The 18,694-nt window shown below is 51.4% G+C and overlaps 1 protein-coding gene across 8 annotated transcripts in view, besides 8 other annotated features; it reads right to left on the bottom strand.

Annotated features, from left to right (window-relative positions):
- Positions 1 to 9,448, bottom strand: part of SMOX (spermine oxidase) — a 38,900-nt gene extending 29,452 nt beyond the window's left edge. For 5 of the 8 annotated variants that reach the window (NM_001270691.2, NM_175839.3, NM_175842.3 and 2 more), the window contains exon 1: positions 9,299 to 9,448. The gene's annotated coding sequence lies outside the window, so the exon portion shown is untranslated. Of the gene's footprint in view, positions 1 to 2,809; positions 3,061 to 9,298 lie in introns of those variants that run through there. The other 3 variants (XM_047440218.1, XM_047440222.1, XM_011529261.3) reach the window with 2 other exon arrangements.
- Positions 139 to 639: an enhancer, noted in NCBI's record as "H3K4me1 hESC enhancer chr20:4138284-4138784 (GRCh37/hg19 assembly coordinates)". NCBI's record gives its function as "activates a minimal SCP1, AML or CMV promoter by ChIP-STARR-seq in primed H9 embryonic stem cells {active_cell/tissue: H9 hESC(primed)}" and the evidence as "EXISTENCE:reporter gene assay evidence [ECO:0000049][PMID:30033119]".
- Positions 2,168 to 2,337: an enhancer, noted in NCBI's record as "experimental_60212 CRE fragment used in MPRA reporter constructs". NCBI's record gives its function as "activates a minimal promoter by MPRAs in K562 erythroleukemia cells, with activity observed for both the introgressed and non-introgressed 20:4136671 or rs6076623 variant alleles {active_cell/tissue: K562}" and the evidence as "EXISTENCE:reporter gene assay evidence [ECO:0000049][PMID:34662402]".
- Position 2,252: a transcriptional cis regulatory region, noted in NCBI's record as "Neanderthal adaptively introgressed variant 20:4136671 (GRCh37/hg19 assembly coordinates) or rs6076623 in the experimental_60212 CRE". NCBI's record gives its function as "modulates activity of the experimental_60212 enhancer by MPRAs in K562 erythroleukemia cells {active_cell/tissue: K562}" and the evidence as "EXISTENCE:reporter gene assay evidence [ECO:0000049][PMID:34662402]".
- Positions 6,112 to 6,201: a silencer, noted in NCBI's record as "silent region_12638". NCBI's record gives its function as "represses an Ori minimal core promoter by ATAC-STARR-seq in GM12878 lymphoblastoid cells {active_cell/tissue: GM12878}" and the evidence as "EXISTENCE:reporter gene assay evidence [ECO:0000049][PMID:35858748]".
- Positions 7,833 to 8,774: an enhancer, noted in NCBI's record as "H3K27ac-H3K4me1 hESC enhancer chr20:4130149-4131090 (GRCh37/hg19 assembly coordinates)". NCBI's record gives its function as "activates a minimal SCP1, AML or CMV promoter by ChIP-STARR-seq in naive H9 embryonic stem cells {active_cell/tissue: H9 hESC(naive)}" and the evidence as "EXISTENCE:reporter gene assay evidence [ECO:0000049][PMID:30033119]".
- Positions 8,775 to 9,716: an enhancer, noted in NCBI's record as "H3K27ac-H3K4me1 hESC enhancer chr20:4129207-4130148 (GRCh37/hg19 assembly coordinates)". NCBI's record gives its function as "activates a minimal SCP1, AML or CMV promoter by ChIP-STARR-seq in naive H9 embryonic stem cells {active_cell/tissue: H9 hESC(naive)}" and the evidence as "EXISTENCE:reporter gene assay evidence [ECO:0000049][PMID:30033119]".
- Positions 8,775 to 9,727: a biological region, named in NCBI's record as "H3K27ac-H3K4me1 hESC enhancer GRCh37_chr20:4129207-4130148".
- Positions 9,308 to 9,727: a silencer, noted in NCBI's record as "silent region_12637". NCBI's record gives its function as "represses an Ori minimal core promoter by ATAC-STARR-seq in GM12878 lymphoblastoid cells {active_cell/tissue: GM12878}" and the evidence as "EXISTENCE:reporter gene assay evidence [ECO:0000049][PMID:35858748]".

Genomic DNA, 18,694 nt, shown 5'->3' with positions numbered 1-18,694 from the left:
TTCGGGTCAGGTCGGAGGGCCAATGTTGCCCCACGCACCACCGTAGCTCCTCCTGGGTATTTAAAATACCACACCCCGACCGGCGCTGTGGCTCACACCTGTCATCCCAGCACTTTGGGAGGCCAAGGCGGGCGGATCACGAGGTCAGGAGATCGAGACCATCCTGGCTAACAAGGTGAAACACCATCTCTACTAAAAATACAAAAAATTAGCCGGGCGTGGTGGCGGGCGCCTGTAGTCCCAGCTACTCGGGAGGCTGAGGCAGGAGAATGGCGTGAACCCGGGAGGCGGAGGTTGCAGTGAGCCGAGATCGCGCCGCTGCACTCCAGCCTGGGCGACAGAGCGAGACTCCAACTCAAAAAAAATAAAAAATAAAAAATACCACAGCCCATCTCCCCCACCTGAGCTGCTGAACAAAGAGCCTCACACCACAGAGGAAAGGAGGTGTGGCAGAGGCGAGGCAGGGTAGCCTCACTGACTGCCCTGAGAGTCTGAGAATGAGGGTCACGTCCGCAACTTGGCCCCTCCCCCAGCTTCATGTCCATGAAGGGGCACAGCACCGCCCCCTCCCACAGCCCACCATCACTCACACCCTGCCTCATGTCTCACTAATGCACTGCTCTGATCACATCACTGCCCTGCTCAAAACCTTCTGTGGGCTGCCACAGCCCAGTGAACGAAGGTAGTCCCTGATGCCTCCTCCCTGCCCGCAGGCCACTTGTCCCCTACACACACCCACCAGGATCCTCTGACTCTCAGACTCAAACCTGTGACTTCTCATTCTGTCCAGATCTCCCCACCTAACTGGCCATTCCTCCAGGAAGCCAGTCCTGCTAGCTACCCACACCCTCTTTCTTCTCCTCTGCAGGCTACTCTGGTCTAACCAGGACCCCAACCTAAGCCTTGTGCCGCTTTCTGCTGGCTCTTGCTTTCTTCCCTCATGTCCACGATGACAGGGCCCTCCCCAGGGTCCCTCCTCCAGCCATGTCAAATCCAGTAGTAAGAGCAGCCAACCGGTATTAGAGTGTCACAACAACCCAGCCACCCTAGGAGGGAGGTAATATTACCCTCATGGTACAAATGAGGGAACGGAGGCACAGAGAGGCTTAGCTTATTGTCCAGAGTTCACAACCCTGCTGTGTTAACCTCTGAGATGAAAGGCTGGGGAGAACTTGCAAAGCGAGGAAATGCCCGGGAGGTATAAGGAAAAGGCCCTCTCAGAATCCAGAAGATGGCCGGGCACAGCGGCTCACATCTGTAATCCTAGCACTTTGGGAGGCCAAGGTGAGCAGATCACCTGAGGCCAGGAGTTCCAGACCAGCCTGGGCAACACGGTGAAACCCCACCTCTACTAAAAACACAAAAATTAGCAGGGCGTGGTGGTGAGCGCCTGTAATCCCAGCTACTCGGGAGGCTGAGGCAAGAGAATTGCTTGAACCCAGGAGGTGGAGGTTGCAATGAGCTGAGATTGCGCCACTGCACTCCAGCCTGCGTGACAGAGTGAGGCTCCATCTCAAAAAAAAGAAAAAGAATCCAGAAGACCCAGGCCCAGCTACCTGGGGATCCCAGGCACCAGACAGGTCCTTCCAGATCCTTCCTCATTCACCCAGTGAGGCAGAGCCATTGCCACAAGAACCCAGGGCTGGCTCTCGGCCCAGAAATACCAGGGAGAAAAGGAAGGATGGCAGGGAGCTTCCTGGTAGAGGTGGGATGGGCACATCTGAGGGCCCTGGTCAGTTGAGGTCCCACCAGGCACTGGCAGGGGGGTAGCAGTTGCTACACCCAAAGGAAGGTGGGGAGGCAGACATGGGGGGCAAAGATTTACAGATGAAGAAACTGAGGCCTCAGAGGGGAGCCTGGCATCTCTCTCTCTGCAGTGCCCTCTTCTTCTACTGATTGTCCAAATGTGCCCATCCCACCAAGTCTACCTCTACCAGGAAGTCCACCTGTGCTACCATGTTCGTGGCCTTCCAGTGAGCAGCATCTTTCCACATCAGCTTTTCCCAGCAGGTGTTTTCCTGGTGGGTGGGACATTATTGGCAGTCATTTAAAAAAAAGATTTCCACGGTCAGATCAGGCTGGGAAACACTAAACAGTTTCTTTTCTACAGGACTTGTCAGGACCTTTAATTCTCTTAAATGTATTCTGAATCTCCCGTAGGGTAGTGGAGTGAATTTGCCAGTTTCTACCCTTATTTGTCCCCTGAACGCTTGAGATTGCGCAGAACAGTCTTTGAGAAATGTTATCCCCTCCCATCCCGCAGGACGGCCTGGCCCAGGGGCAGGGATCAAAGTGGGGTGTGATTGGCTTGGCCTTGCCCTCCTTTGAGGAGGTGTGTGTGGGATATCTGGGGAGCTCAGACTGAGAGCCAGTCAACCCCTACCCTGCCAGCCCCTCATGGCACTGCCCAGGGCAGTGGAACCTTTGCCCTTTGTGTCTGCCCTCTGTACCTTCTTTTGGGTGTAGTGACTGCTACCCCGCTTCCAGCAACTGGGGGGACTCAACCCACCAGTGTCCTCAGATACGCACCCCAGGCCATGTAGAGCCTGAGGTGCAAGGGGCCTTGGGAGACCCCCAAAACAACCCGGATGGTTTTTTCCAAGCAAATTGCTAATTCGACCCCATCATTAGCATGTGAGTTTTAATATTAACTTTAATATTTAATATTAAACTAAAATGTGTTAAGCTGACTCTCTGGGAAGAGGCAATGCCCCACCCAGCAAACCGTGTGATAACCCCCCTGGAGGGACCTGAACCCCTCAGTTTACAGATGAGGAGACTGACACCTCAGAGAGGAGCAGACACTTGCCTGTAGTGGCCCAGCCAGGGCAGAGCAGAGAGAAGCATCCAGGCCCCCCCCACTCCCACGTACGCCGCAGAGGTGGCCAGAGTGGGATAAGACCCCCGACAGCAGCTCATGTAACCATCAGTGACAGCAGCTCACGTAACCATCAGCGGCAGCAACAAGGACTTGGGCCAGGGTGACAGGCACTGCACACGCTGGGGTGATGGCCCGGCAGCTGGGGAGACTACCGTCTTCTATGAGGACACGTCACAGCTGGAGCTAGAGGGCCGGATCAGCTGTTTCCCCAATCTCTCGGCCCCGCCCTGGCTGGAGGAAGGGTGCTCACCCCAGATTGGTTGCCCACAGTGCCAGGCTCGGCTGTGGACAGAGATAAGGTGCCCTCCGTGCTGTCTGCATGTCACCCTGCCCCGGGATACAGTCACCCAAGATACCCCCTCGTGGTCTTGGGAGCTCCTTACAGTCAGAGGCCCTGGAAATCAGACCTATGTTCCTGGTCTATGACCCAAGCACCCAGAGGCCCTCACACAGCCCCAGCTCCCAGCAGAGTGGCCCCTGCATCTCACATCTTCTACAGTCCCCTCTGTCCTGCCCCCAGCCCACCTGCACCACCCCCACCCCCTACCCCGGCAGCTCCCTACACATCCCGCAACACAGGAGCCTCAGGAGCCAAGGTAGTTAGTTCCCTGTTCCACCCACCTGAACTGCACTCGTCCCTCAAGACTCCAGTCTAAATCCTTGCTATACAAAGCGTGCTCCATGGAGCAGCAGCATTGCACTGCCAAGGAGCTTATTAAAAATGCAGTCTCAGGCCAGGCACAGTGGTTCATGCCTGTAATCCCAACACTTTGGGAGGCTGAGGCAGGTGGGTCACTTGAAGCCAGGAGTTCGAGACCAGCCTGACCAATATGGTGAAACCCTGTCTCTACTAAAGATGGTGGTGGGCACCTGTAATCCCAGCTACTGCTACTCAGAAGGCTGAGGCAGGAGAATTGTTTAAATCCAGGAGGCGAAGGTTGCAGTGAGCCGAGATCCTGTCACTGCACTCCAGCTTGGACAACAGAGCAAGACTCCGTCTCAAAAAAAGAAAGAAAGAAAGAAAGAAATGCGGAGTCACAGGCCTCACCCCAGACCTGGTGAATCAGACAGGACAGACATGCATTTTAACAAGCTGCCTAGGTGATCTATGTGCATTCAAGTTTGAAAAGCACTTTTATAGACCACTGCCCTAATCAAGTAATTGCCCCCATGCCCTATAACCTTCAAAGGCTCCCCAGGGTCTACTGAATCAAGGCCAGACTCAGCAGCTTGGCAGCCAAGGCCTTTCCCAACCTGGCTTCAACCCACTTCTCCTCCTCCACCTTAGGAAGGCCATCCTCTCCTCTGTCGGCCAAAGCCGCCCAAGATTTCAGAACCCTCCCAAAGCACCACCTCCTCTGGGAGGAGGACCTCATTATATCACACCTGGCATGGCTCACGTTTATTTCCTGGAGAGCAGGAACCGTGTCCTGTGTTCCCAAAGGCTCTGAACACCAGGCTGGGGCACAGGAGATGCCAGGTGCTGACCACAGCTAACAAGGCCCAGTGTCTACTTGTCAGGAAGTCCACCTCAGCTCTAGCCTGCCCGCCTCAGGCTTGGCCACAGCCTTCACTTCGACTCAGCAGACAAGGACTTGGGCACCGTGGACAGGCCTCCCCCATGCTCCCCTGCCAGAGAAGGGAGCCCTTCCTGACAACCATGAAGGCTGGTGAGCTTCCAACAGCAATGTTTTCCCTGTGCCTCAGTTTCCACTAACCCTGCCTCCCTCTCTTCCTAGGAGGCTGGCAGGATCTGTCCAGATAGATGAGCAGATCCCCTCAACTCTGGGGCTCAGAATTCAGAGAAAACAGACCCCATCCCTGTGTGGTCAGCAAACCGTTCCTCAGCCAGCCAGCCAGGTCCCTGGGAGGCCAGGTCACCTGCCTAGAGTCATCCTCGTGCCAAACAGGAAAGCCTCCCAGGGCAGAGCTGACACACCCTCCTCCCTCCTTCCTGGCCCAGTTCCTCAGCCTGGCATCCCAGGGGAAGCCTTTCCTCCTTTCAGAGTCTACAAGGAGAAGGCACTCAAGCATGTGACCTCCAGGGAGCAAAGAAAAAAAGTCCCTCTAATCCCATTTTACAGGCAGATGACGAGGGCAATGCTAAACCCAGAAGGGTGACATTCTAATGATGGCATCTCAGGCAGAAAGCGGTAGCTGAACCAGAAGCAGCAGACCTTCCCAGCACCCCAAAATCACAGTGTACGTGATGCCCAACCCATTGGCCTGGGTCCGGAGCCCCTCCTGGAAGAAAAAGTGGGGCATGAAGCAGAAAAATTCGGTCACCCACTCCAAGCGAGGACCCCTTCTACCTTCTTTCCCACCTCCCCAGCCCCTAAGGCCAGGCACCTCTGGGAGGCAGGAAAAGCCTCTTCTTAGGAAGCCCTCGGCTGACACATAACTGAGAGGCATGAGAGAAGTGGCAGAGTGGACCGATTTCAAGCATGGATTCTGGAGCCAAGTTGTTTGGATTCAATCCTTACTCTGTTATTATTTAGTTGTATGACTATGACTCAGTCCTCCCGTCTGTAAAATGTTTGGATTCAATCCTCATTCTGTCACTATTTAGCTGTATGACTGTGCCTCAGTCTTCCCAGCTGTAAAATGGGAATAAGACCTACCTTATAGAGCTGTTAAGAGCATTAAAGGAGTTAACATTTGCAAAGTGCTTAGAACAATGCAGGGCATGCAGTGAATATACCAGGGCCCTGCCCTGCCTCTTGGCCTCTGCTTGATTCCTCCCACCCAGGATGCCCTCCTCATCCCTACCTATCCCAGCTCAAGGTCTTTCCTAGGCATGCCAGCCCCATCCCAGATCTGGACCACTGCCCCTAGTTCTAGCACCCACGTCGCGGTGTTACCTCAGTCCACCCCTGTCCCCCTGTCCAGGGGTCAGCTCCCCTCCCTCCCAGATCTGAGGTCCCCTGGCTCTCAGCCTTCCATTCTGAGAGTACCAGCCACACAATTTAACACTCAACTGGCTCCTCTGTGCAAACAGGAGAGCTGTGGGTAGAAAGGCAAGAGTCTAGAGATAGAGAGAGACCACCCCAGGGCTGGGTACCCAGCAGTCACCCAAGAGAGTGGGCTGAAATCAATCCCTGGCTGCCCAGGCTGCCCACATCTTGTGAGCTAGAGAATCTCCCTCCCACCCAACATGCACACATATCCCTCTGCTGACCCAGCTTGCATTTCTACCAAAGAAAGCAAAGGAAATCATTTACCCCAACCACAGTGACACACACACAGACTCACATCCCACCGGCTGCCCTCGGCATACAGCCCTGCCCTCCAGCCACGCATACCTTCTCCACTTCCCTTTTTCACATCCCATTGGCGCCCTTAGATTCTTGCAGCAATCTGCACAGTTGCTTTTGTGGAAAGAAAATAAAAATCCTCAGGGTCACTTGAAGTTTAAAGAGGACTCCTGTGCTCACTGCAATACCCACCTCTCTGCCCAATCCAGCCCCAACCTGCCACCTGGCTGAAGATTTCCTGGGCATCAGCTACATGCCAGGCACTGTGCTAGATGCTCCAGATACAGCACTGGTCCATTCAGTCAAGGTTCCGGCCCTTAAGAAGCCAGATAAGTCAAGTATACAAACAATTGTAACAAATGGTTGTGAACTGTGATAAATATAATATAGAAAATAAGTCAGGTGCTACGATTAATTACGGGGGACTTCCCAAGACTGGGAAGGCATTTGAGGAAGGTATAATTAAGTGAAGACCTTAAAAATAAGAAGGAGAAAAGCCAGGCCAGTAAAGGGCACTGGAAAACACTCCTGGCAGAAAAGATAGCACAAGCAAAGGCCGTGGGGCAGGAGAAAGCTTAGGTTGTCCAAAGGGCAGAAATGATTCAGATGTGTCTGTCAGGGAGAATGCAAAGGGGACAGTGGTCCAGATAAGGCTGGGGAGGTCAGCTGTGGCCAGACTGGGAAGGGTCTGGTAGGCTGAGGGAAAGCTTTGAGATTTTAATCAAGTGTGATAGAGAGCTATCACGAATTTTAGAGAAATGAGATGGTCCTATCAAAAGTTTCTATAACATTCTCGCTGCTCTACTAAAATAGATCAGAGAAGGGCAAGTGTAGACCTGGGGAGAGGGTTACGCGGCTTGGCTTGGCTTGGGGCAGGTAGCCTGGGGCCTTAACAGTGGAGTCAGAGCACAGAGGGCAGGCTTGAGATCAACGTTGTGAAAAGAACCAAAAGGACTTGCTCTTGGTGGAGTTGTGCTCCTGGTTTCCCATCTTTAAAAGTGAGTAGATGGGCCTGGCGCAGTGGTTCACGCCTGTAATCCCAGCACTTTGGGAGGCCAAGATGGGTGGATCACCTGAGATCAGGAGTTCGAGACCAGCCTGGGCAACATGGTGAAACCCCATCTCTACTAAAAATACAAAAATTAGCCGGGCGTGGTGGCGCATGCCTGTAATCTCAGCTACTTGGGAGGCTGAGGCAGGAGAATCACTTGAACGCAGGAGGTGGAGGTTGCGGTGAGCCAAGATCACGTCATTGCACTCCAGCCTGGGCGAAAAGAGCGAAACTCCGTCTCAAAGAAAAAAAAAAAAAAAAAAAAGTGAGTAGATGATGGGCGATTCACTGAGATGGGAAGGCCTGGGGAGTGCCATCAGGGTTCTGTTTCATCCATATTAAGTTTTTTGTCATCCAGGACATCATAAATCATCAGATGGGGGGTTAGGTAGAGAGGCTGGGGCTGGAGGTAAAATCTGCTATTTAAAACCATGAGAATGATGTACATTTAAGATCTGTATGTTTGCAAATTGATGCTTGATTTTTAAAATCATAAGAAAGAATGAAACGGGGAAGGGTTTGTAAATAGACCAGAGAGAGAAGCGGCTACGGACAAAGCCCTGGGGCCCTCCAACATTTGGAGCTGAGTGAAGGAGCTGTCTGAAAAGAAGTCTAAGAAAAAGGGCAGCCAAGGAGGGAAGAAAACCAGAAGCCAAGGGAGGATACTGGTTCTTGAAGGAGAGTGTTCAAGGAGACCAGGAGAGGTGGAAGAAGACTTGCTTTTGGGGGCGTGGAGCTCACTGGAGAGCTTGGCTGAGGCTGTTTCAGTGAAGGGGTGGGACCGAAGTCAGGGCAAGCCAGCAAAAGAACGGAAGAGCTGTGCTCTGAAGGAGCGAGTGCAGAAGGCTCTCCAGAGAAGTTTTGCTGTGAAGGGAAGAAGGTCCGAAGCTGGAGGGAATGAGGGATTAAGGCGAAAAGGGGGCTACAAAATTGGAGAGACAGGGTGCCAAGGCATATTTCTTATAATGCTGTGGACGATCCAGGGGAATAGAAGCCACTTCTAACACTGGAGAGAGAGGAGGTAACTGAAGAAAGGGGGACAGGGAGAGGACCTTGGAGTCCAAGCGGAGGCAGGGCCAGCGGCAGGAATTGGGATGCCCTCTCCGCCTAACAAGAGGCCAGGGGGCAGTGGTGGCCGAATGCAAATGTGGGGGCTTCACTGCACACACTTTCGGATGCATGGCACCCCGGCCCGCGTCGCTCCCGGTAACCCCAGGGCACCTACTGCTGGCTCCAATCACGGCCAAGTTGCCCCCACAGACTGGTACGTGATGTGCCACCAACAGCAGGTTCTGCAAACAACCTGTGGGCACCTCTCACTATACGTGCCGGGCACCGAGCGTATCTCATCGGGCCAAGTCCCCCTGGCGCAAGCTCCGCGGGCCCCTCAACTGCTCTAAAGGAGCCCTCGCCCCTACCCCAGGGCAGTGGCTTCCCTCAGCCCCTCCCACAAAGTGAGCCCTCCAACACACCCGAACCCTTTGCGAGCCCGGCTCCCGCCAAGCCCGGGACAACCCGTGAGCCCCTAGTTGGCCCTTAAGAGAAAGCTGCTCCTCACCCTGCCCGGGGCCCCAAGGGGACCACCCGGACGCCCGGAGCCCAGAGGGGGAAGTCAGCACAGCCTCTCCTGGCGTTCGGGCCATCACCCGGGAGCCTTCTGTCCTCTCCCCGGTGCCCACCCTCCCGGCAGCCCGAGTCGTCGCGGGGCGTCCGCGCCCGGCTTTGTCTGCGCCCACGGAGCGCGCCTGCAGGGCGCCCGGGACGCTCCCCTCCCGCACGTAGCCCGGGGGTCCGTCCGGCCCTCTACCCCCGGCGCCCGGCCCGGGCCGAGCAGCCCTGGCGCCGGGATCGCCGCCACCCCGGCCCACACCACTGCTTACCCCGGCGGAAGCCAGGGGGGCGCGGCGCCCCCTGCTCCCCGCGAGCCTCCCGGAACGCCCCGCACCCCCGCCCGAGCGCCCGAGCGCCGCGCTGGCCGCCCAAGCCCCGGGCCGGCCGAGCCCTCGGGGACCGCTCCGGGCCCCTCACCCTCTCGCGGCGGCCGCAGCCCCTGCCTGCGCCCGGGGGAGGCTGAGAGCCGGGGCCCGGGGCCGGAGAGCGGGCGCACCGTACCTTTCCCTGCTGAGCCGGGGAAGTAAGTCTGCGGCGAGCGGCGCTCCGGTCTCGGCCTCCTCCGTCTCTCCTCCTCCGCCAGCCGCCTGGCTTCCTCCTCCAGCCGCCGCCGGGACCGTAGGGGCCCGAGCCAGCCGCCGCGGCCTGTGTGGGGCCCCGCTCCGCCTCGCGTCCCCTACCCACCCCGCTCCGGCCCGGCCCTCCGCTCCGCCTCTGGGCGGGGACCCGCCGAGCTCCTCCCCGGGCCCGCCCCGCCGGGAGCCGGGAAGCTAGAAGCCCCTGAAGCCGGAGACTGCTGGATCCCTGCCTCGGAAACCCGGGTCCCACGCCCACATCTGGGCCCGCACCCCCTCCCTCCCTAGCAGGGGCCCCCCTCCCGCAGGGGACCCACAGCGGGACAGGCCCCGGCGTGTAGCACAGGGCGGCGGCAGAGGTCCAGAAGCCAGGAGGGTAGAGGTGGCCCTGGAGAAATGGGGTTTGATGCTCCCCTCCAAGAGGGAACCGCTTGGGGACAGGCTTCAGGACTGGGACAAGTGAATTTCAGGTGAGGTTTCCTCTCAGCAGAAAAAGCCTTGTCATTGCCCAAGCTATTCCATCCCCTGGAAGCCTCTTCTCCTCACCCCTCCCCACAAATCCCTATGCCCTCTTGGGGTTAAATGTTAGTCTACATGTCACAACCTCCTCTGTGAATCCTCCTGGGTCACCAAGGAGAGCAGAATATTTGTTAGCTCTCAGAATTATATCTCCTGGATTTGAATTCTGCCCCTAAGTAGCCTTAGGTAAGCTTAATCTCTTTGCTTCAGTTTCTTCATTTGTAAAACAGGGTTAATAAATAGTACCTACTCCAAAGAGTTTATTAAATAAGGCCGGGCGCGGTGGCTCATGCCTGTAATCCCCACACTTTGGGAGGCCGAGGCGGGTGGATCACCTGAGGTCAGGAGTTCAAGACCAGCCTGACCAATATGGTGAAACCCGTTTCTACTAAAAATACAGAAATTAGCTGGGCGTGGTGGCGGGCGCCTGTAGCCCCAGCTACTCGGGAGGCTGAAATAGGAGAATCGCTTGAACCCGGGAGGCGGAGGTTGCAGTGAGCCAAGATCACACCACTGCACTCTAGCCTGGGTGACAGAGCAAGACACCATCTCAAAAAAATTAAAAAAAAAAAAGTTTATTAAATAAAAATATTAATATGGACTTGATGGATTACAAATGATGGGAAACTATGCAAATTGGCTTGGTGTAAGCAGACAGGTAATTTATATGCTGACATAAAAGGTGGTCTGACTGATTCAGGTACCAAGAAGCACAAAATACATCAGGATTTGGTCTTCCTTCCCCTATCTTTCATCTCTGTTCTTTGCAGTAGGAAGTTGGCTTCCAGCAGCTCTAGGCTCCACCCTCACAGCCCAAGTCCTCATTTATTTCAGCAAAAAGCCAAGGTGACACCTAGTTGCCTTGGACTGGTTCACATATCATTCCAAACTAATCACTGAGGTTCTGATATTCAGATTAGTTGAGTCTGAGTCACACACCCATCCCTAGAGTCAATTCATCCTAATTCATGTGGTGGAGAGTGAGGAAAGGTGATTTCAGGGCCCTGTTTATCTTTAGAAGGTGAACGGACCCAGAGCTGTGTGCCAAGAACACATTAAGTTCCCAAAAAGTATTGGCCATGGTTGAAGACCTTCATTACATTTCAGGAGTGCCAGTACCTTTTGAACATCTTTCTATGTTAGGGGACCTTTCCATGTCATGAATCCCCAACCCCTCCCCACATGCCAAAGCCAGAAACACTCTTTCCCAGTCTCCTTTGCAGCTGAAGCGCTGGCAGCAGCCAGGCCCTGCCAACAAGATGCACCACTGAAAATTAGTGTATGGAAGTGAGCAATGCTGGGAACATCAAACAGAATGTATCTTTAAAAAATAAAAATAAAAAAGAAGAGAAGCAAGCCATGTGAGGAGGCAGGAGTCACCCAGAATCCACCGGGAGGAGGGTGGAAGGATGGCACTGGAGGCACTAAGGGCAACAGTGGCAGAGATGCTGGAGTACTTGCCCCACTGAACTGAAGATGCACGTCTCAGTTGCCCATTGCTACATAACAAGCTGCCCCAAATATAGTGGTTTAAAACAACGGTTTTTTTTTTTTTGAGTCAGAATCTTGCTCTGTTGCCCAGGCTGGAATACAGTGATGCGATCTCGGCTCACTGCAACCTCCGCCTCCTGGGTTCAAGTGATCCTCCTGCCTCAGCCTCCCAAGTAGCTGGGATTAAACCCAGCTAATTTTTTTGTATTTTTAGTAGAGACGGGGTTTCACCATGTTGGTCAGGCTGGTCTTGAACTCCCGACCTCAGGTGATCCGCCCGCCTCGGCCTCCCAGGCACGAACCACCGTGCCCAGCTGAATGATTTCTTATTTCTCACAATTTTGGGGGTTTGCTGGACTCAGCTGGACAGTTCTACTGCATGTGATGTTGACTGGGGACATTAGCTGGAAGCTTGGCTGAAGCTGGAACAATCAAAATGGCCTCTTTCTCCATGGGACCTCTCCAGCAGGATAGCCTAGACTTCCTTAGCATGTGGTGGCTTGGCTTCCCAGAGGGTGAATATGGAAGCAACCAAACATCTTAAGACCTAGACTCAGAACTGCCAAGCCATGATTTCTACCACATTCTATAGCTGAAGAAAGGCATAAGGCCAGCCCATATTCAAGGGAAGGATAAATCAACTCCACCTCTTGATGGAAAGAGTCTTGTACTCATTTGCTAGGGCTGCCATTACAAAATGCCACAGACTAGGGGGCTTGAACAACTGAAATTTAGTTTCTCACAGTTCTAGAGGCATTAATCCAGATCAAAGTGTAGGTGGGTTCCCTCTAGAAGGGAGAATCTGTTCCAGCCTCTCTCCTATCTTCTGGTAGTTTTCTGGCACTCTGGTGTTCACTGGCTTCATCACCTTCCCATGAGCTATCTCTCAAATCTCCTCTTGTTTTGTTTTGGGGTTTGTGTGTGTGTGTGTGTTGTTGTTGTTGTTGTTGTTGTCGTTGTTGAGACAGAGTCTCGCTTTGTCGCCCAGGCTGGAGTGCAGTGGTGCCATTTCGGCTCACTGCAAGCTCCGCCTTCCAGGTTCACGCCATTCTCCTGCCTCAGCCTCCCAAGCAGCTGGGACTACAGGCACCCACCGTCATGGCCCACTAATTTTTGTATTTTTAGTAGAGACGGGGTTTCACTGTGTTATCCAGGATGGTCTGGATCTCCTGACCTTGTGATCCGCCCGCCTCGGCCTCCCAAAGTGCTGGGATTACAGGCATGAGCCACCGCGCCCGGCCTGTTTTGGGTGTTTTGTTTCGTTTTGTTTTGTTTTGTTTTTGAGACGGAGTCTTGCTCTGTTGCCCAGGCTGGAGTGCAGTGGCAGGATGTCGGCTCACTCCAACCTCCACCTCCCAGGTTCAAGTGATTCTTCTGCCTCAGCCTCCCAAGTAGCTGGGATTATAGGTGTGTGCCACCACGCCTGGCTAATTTTTGTATTTTTAGTAGAGATGGAGTTTCACCATATTGGCCAGGCTGGTCTCGAACTCATGACCTTCTGTCTCAGCCTCCCAAAGTGCTGGGATTACAGGTGTGAGACACCACGCCCAGCTCAAATCTCCTCTTCTTATAAGGACACCAGTCACATTGTATTAGGGCCCACCCTAATGACCTCATTTAACTTGATTACCTCTGTAAAAACCCCAGGGGCTGAAAAACAAACTGTTTATCCTCTGCTGTCATGCCCCAACAATCAATACAGAACACTTCTGTGACCAAACATGGGAAATTGCTCCCCAATAAGTAAGCAAGCAAAGCAATTCTGCAATGGGCAATTTCTTTTTTTGTTTGTTTGTTTGTTTTTTTTGAGATGGAATTTCACTCTTGTTGCCCAGGTTGGAGTGCAGTGGTGCGATCTCAGCTCACTGCAACCTCTGCCTCCCGAGTTCAAGCAATTCTCCTGCCTCAGGCTTCTAAGTAGCTGAGATTACAGGCATGTGCCACCACACCCGGCTAATTTTGTATTTTTAGTAGAGACGGAGTGTCTCCATGTTGGTCAGGCTGGTCTCAAACTCCCAACCTCAGGTAATCCACCTGCCTCGGCCTCCCAAGGTGCTGGGATTACAGGCGTGAGCCAGCGCGCCCAGCCAGCTGGGCATCTTCTAATGCAACTCAATTCCGACGCTATCTATCTAGAGATAGTGGCAGATCCCCCAAGTTGAGGGCTCGGTCCCACAAGACTGCCCCAGCTTCAGATGCCTATTGCAAGCCGAGGCCTCTGGAACTTCTGACCAACCAGCTTCAAGTTAGTGTTCCCATGATCCCTTCTTTGGGCTTGATTAACTTGCTAGAGTGGCTCACAAAACTCCAGAAAACATGTTTACCAGTTTATTAGAAAGGATACTTTAGGTCGGGTGTGGTGGCTCACACCTGTAATCCCAGCACTTTGGGAGGCCAAGGCGGGTGGATCACCTGACGTCAGGAGTTCAAGACCAGTCTGGCCAATATGGTGAAACCCTGTCTCTACTACTAATAAAAAATTGGCCAGGCATGGTGGCACTTGCCTGTAATCCCAGCTACTTGGGAGGCTGACCAGGAGAATCGCTGGAACCTGGGAGGCAGAGGCTGCAGTGAGCCAAGATGGTATCACTGCTCTCCAGCCTGGGAAACAGAGTGACAGTCTCAAAAAAAAAAAAAAAGGATATTTTAAAGAATACAAATATTTCTGGCAGTGGAAGAAAAAAATAAATACGTTAGTGAAGTAATTAATTAATGTAATATCTTTATTTAAATAATACAAATAAATAGCCAGATGATGGGATTATACAGGCGAGGTCTGGAAGTATCCTGAGAACAGGAGCTTCCATTCTTATGAGTTGGGGTACAACACCCTCTGGGCACGTGGATGAGTTCTTGTTCATGTTCCTATGAGTTCAGCTGTCCAGAAACTCCCCAAACCCCTCCTCTTAGGCCTTTTATGGAGACTTCATCGGATAGACATGATTGGTATAAGGACAACTGTGTAGAAATGTGATTAGACAAAAAGGGTATAATCTAATACTAATAGACTGAGTGGGGAAACCCAGCAAGGCCTGTCTGTTCAGATTCTTCTTAGCCTCTCCGTGCAGCAGTCCTTCCTCCAGGGAATGGGGCAAGACCCCTCTGAAATGAGGATTTTATGACCTGCAATTAGATAAGTCAGAGAATTTCTTTATGGCTAGCTCCAAGACAGAAAGATGGGGGGAAATTAGAATATATCTTTCATTTCTACAGCCTGCCTTGGGGAGAAAAAGAAGCAGGTGAAAGGTAGATGAAGAAGGTCAGAGAGAGCAGTTCTGTCTTCTGAGGCCTAAAGTCCCCCAACATTATAACGAAAGACTGCCTTTCACCTTCATGGCTCTGAAGCTGTTCTGAAGCTACTTCAGGAACCAAAGACAAAAGGACAAATAATTTTAACAAAAGATATGTTTTGGTCATTTAGGAAATAATAAGGGCTATGGGAGTTATGAACTAAGAACCATGGACAAAAACATGTGTGTGTGTGTGTGTGTGTGTGTGTGTGTATACACATACACAATATAATCGTGTGTGTATGTGTGGGTGTATATGTACATACACAATATCGTGTGTGTGTGCGTATATATATACACAGTATATTGTGTGTGTAATATACACACACACACACAATATACGGTGTATATATATACATACACACATACACACAAACAATATATCATGCCTTATCTTCAACTAAGGTCATATCTTGTGGTACTCAGGGTTACGACCCCAGCATATTTAGGGGGACACAATTCAACCCATAACCACTGTGCATCAGGAATTGAAGGACTCCTTGGCAGCCATCTTTGCAAGTAATCTACCACCAAGCAGAAGCCCCCAGGAATACCTTGCTGTTGTCTTCAAGAACAGATTCCTAGGGCAGGCAGGTTCAACTAAAGCCTGGGAACTGCAAATTCTCCTTATAAGTCACACCAGCAGCACCAGCAGCCTTGGGTAGAATCTGTTTTTCTACCTCACCAAGGAGGCCTTTGGAGCCTGATTGGTGTAAAATGGAGTGGAGCTGAGAAGTCTCCTCATCGTTTCCTCACAGGACAACGAGGGGAAGGAGGTCGGGTGCGGGTATCTAATGGCCAGCTGTGAAGCCTTCGGCAAGTTTGGAGAACTCCATTTTGTCTTCTGTAAAATGGAGGTAATGATAAAAGTCTGCCTCTCGGGGATGTAGTAAGGATTAAAAAGAATAAAGGGTGTGAAAAGTGATGTCCAAGCCATCAGGTCCTCTCCAAATGTCAGTAATTATTAGCACCAGTCTCTGTCACATTAGTGCAGCTGACTTAGATTCCATTTTGTGTTGGAACATTAGTAAAGCATTGATCACAGTCAGATTTCACATGTGCGGAGCACTTCACACCCACCATCACAAGGCGCTGGGTTACCATGTATGATGAAAGGTGAGTAACAAAGAAGGGCTTTAAGAAATATGTTAGTTACAGTAATGCTGGCTAGTGGAACAGAGACCCAAGAATAAATGACTCCAACGTAATAGAAGTTTAGATCTTACGGACACAATAAAGGAATATTCCTGTTTCATAATGGCCTTCCTCCACATAGTGATTCAGGGATCTAGGCTCATTCCATCTTGTGCCTCCAACAACCGTTAAGGTCTTGTAGTAATCTGCATAAAACCAGCAGCAGAGGAAAGTCTTAGCTTGAAAAATGACATACTTCCACTCACATGCCATTTACCAAAACCAGTCACATAGTCACATCTAAGTACGAAGAAGGCTGGGAAATGTGTCCTAGCTGTATATCCAGGAAGGGTAGGAAAGTGATGTTTGGTGAACAGCCAGCACTCTTTGCCAAGAGGAATTTTATAAAGGAATGGGTCATGTATATCCACAGAAACGTAGTTTCCAGTTGGAAGATATAGTGGACTGACGTATTGGCCACGTTCCTCACTTCCTTACATAGTATTTTGCATCCACATTCTTGCCATGGACTCGGAAAAGAGGATTATATTTTCCTAACTACTGATATTGGGCTTGACAGTGTGGCTTTCCCTGGCCAATGAAATAGGGAAGAAGTGGTAGTGTGTCCCTACTGAGCCTTAGCTTTAAGAGTTCTCACGTGTTTCCACTTCCTTGTGCTTTTATCATCTCTATTAAAAGCCTTTTCCTAGACAGCCACTGCCCTTCAGCCTAGGGCCACAGAATGAACACAGAAGCAGACCAGAACTCAATCCAGCACCCAGAGGCAAACTCACCCAAAGAGTAACTTGAGGCAGAGCCGCCTATCTGATCCAAGCTTAGCTCAGCTTGTAACACCCAGCTAACTTATAGATACAGGAGATCAGTAGAGTCATCCCAGACACCCTACTCACATGAGAAATAAATAGGAATTGTTGTGTGCCAATTTCATGGTTGTTTCACAGCACTGTCATGGTGATAACTGGCTGACACAGAGGACAAATAAAGAACATCCCTCACTTGCCCAGTCTTTTCATAACTTGTGTCAGTGTCATATGATTGAAAAAAGAATTAGAAAACAAGAAGGTGCATGGCTTAAAACCAGGCCTGTATGGTCATGTAGTAAATGAATGTTGCATTCGAAGTCAAGGCCAAACTGTATGCCTTATCATCTCCTCTACACATATTCTGACTGGTTATCCTCGGGTTTCTCCTCCAAGACAGAAGTCCCTGATCTTCAGCCAACATTTTTGGTTACTGTATGGTTGTCCCAATGGAACAATGATGCATTGATGAAAAGACACTAATAGACCCAGGCAAAGGATGAATCCAAGTTCCATTCCTGTGGATAAAAGCTCCAATTTTGTACACCCATGGGTGGGAGATACTGCAGCAAGCTCTGATGGGAAGGCAAGCCTCCGTGGCCTTCAGGTTCCCACTGAAGAAGGCCAACTACTGCTGAGACCACCCGTCAAGATGAGACTCCTGACAGGTCACTAAGGCAGACTGCATACAAATCACCTGGGGACCTTGTTAAAATGCAGGTTCAGATTCAGCAGGTCTGGGATGGGGCCTGAGGTTCTGTATTTCTTTCTTTTTTTTTTTTTTTTTGAGATGGAGTCTCACTCTGTCACCCAGGCTGGAGTGCAGTGGCGCGATCTCAGCTCACTGCAACCTCTGCCTCCCAGGTTGAAGCAATTCTCTTGCCTCAGCCTCCTGAGTAGTTGGTACAGCAGTCGTGTGCCACCACGCCTGGCTAATTTTTTGTATTTTTTAGTAGAGATGGGGTTTCACCATATTGGCCAGGGTGGTCTCGAACTCCATCTAAAAAAAAGTGACCTTTTAATTTAATTTAATTTTATTTTAGCACCTGACCAACTTGTTACCCAGGCTAGGGTACAATGGTGAGATCTCAGCTCACTGCAACCTCCACCTCCCGGATTCAAGCGATTCTCCTGCCTCAGCCTTCTGAGTAGCTGGGATTACAGGCACTCGCCACCATGCCCGGCTAATTTTTGTATTTTTAGTAGAGACAGGGTTTCACCATGTTGGTCAGGCTGGTCTCAAACTCCTGAACTCAGGTGATCCACCCACCTCGGCCTCCCAAAGTGCTGGGATTACAGGCGTGAGCCATGGTGCCCGGCCGAAACACTTGCTTTTTAACCAGGACGATTTAATACCTGTTTTATATCAAAACAAGGATAGAAACATGGAGATGAGCTTGAAATTTATATGAGTTTTTAAGGTGAAATCCCAGGCTTCAAAGTAATTCCAGGTTTGCTGCTGATGGCCTCAAGTTGGGGCTAGGATCTGTCCTTTGGACGGTTCAGAGAGGTTTTCAGATTTGCAAGTGAAAATACAAGTTATCGCCCTCAGAAATAATACCACACATCTACAACCATCTGATCTTTGACAAACCTGACAAAAACCAGAAATGGGGAAAGAATTCTCTATTTAATAAATGGTGCTGGGAAAACTGGCTAGCCATATGTAGAAAGCTGAAACTGGATCCCTCCCTTACACCTTATGCAAAAATTAATTCAAGATGGATTAAAGACTTAAACGTGGCCGGGCGCGGTGGCTCACGCCTGTAATCCCAGCACTTTGGGAGGCCGAGGCGGGTGGATCATGAGGTCAGGAGATCGAGACCATCCTGGCTAACAAGGTGAAACCCCGTCTCTACTAAAAATACAAAAAATTAGCCGGGCGCGGTGGCGGGCGCCTGTAGTCCCAGCTACTCGGGAGGCTGAGGCAGGAGAATGGCGTGAACCCGGGAAGCGGAGCTTGCAGTGAGCCGAGATTGCGCCACTGCAGTCCGCAGTCCAGACTGGGCGACAGAGCGAGACTCCGTCTCAAAAAAAAAAAAAAAAAAAAAAAAAAAGACTTAAACA

The sequence above is a fragment of the Homo sapiens genome, chromosome 20, assembly GCF_000001405.40.
Source record: "Homo sapiens chromosome 20, GRCh38.p14 Primary Assembly".
NCBI lineage: Eukaryota > Metazoa > Chordata > Mammalia > Primates > Hominidae > Homo > Homo sapiens.
The sequence above is the reverse complement of the archived record's forward strand: the minus strand, read 5'-3'. Positions and strand labels throughout refer to the sequence as shown.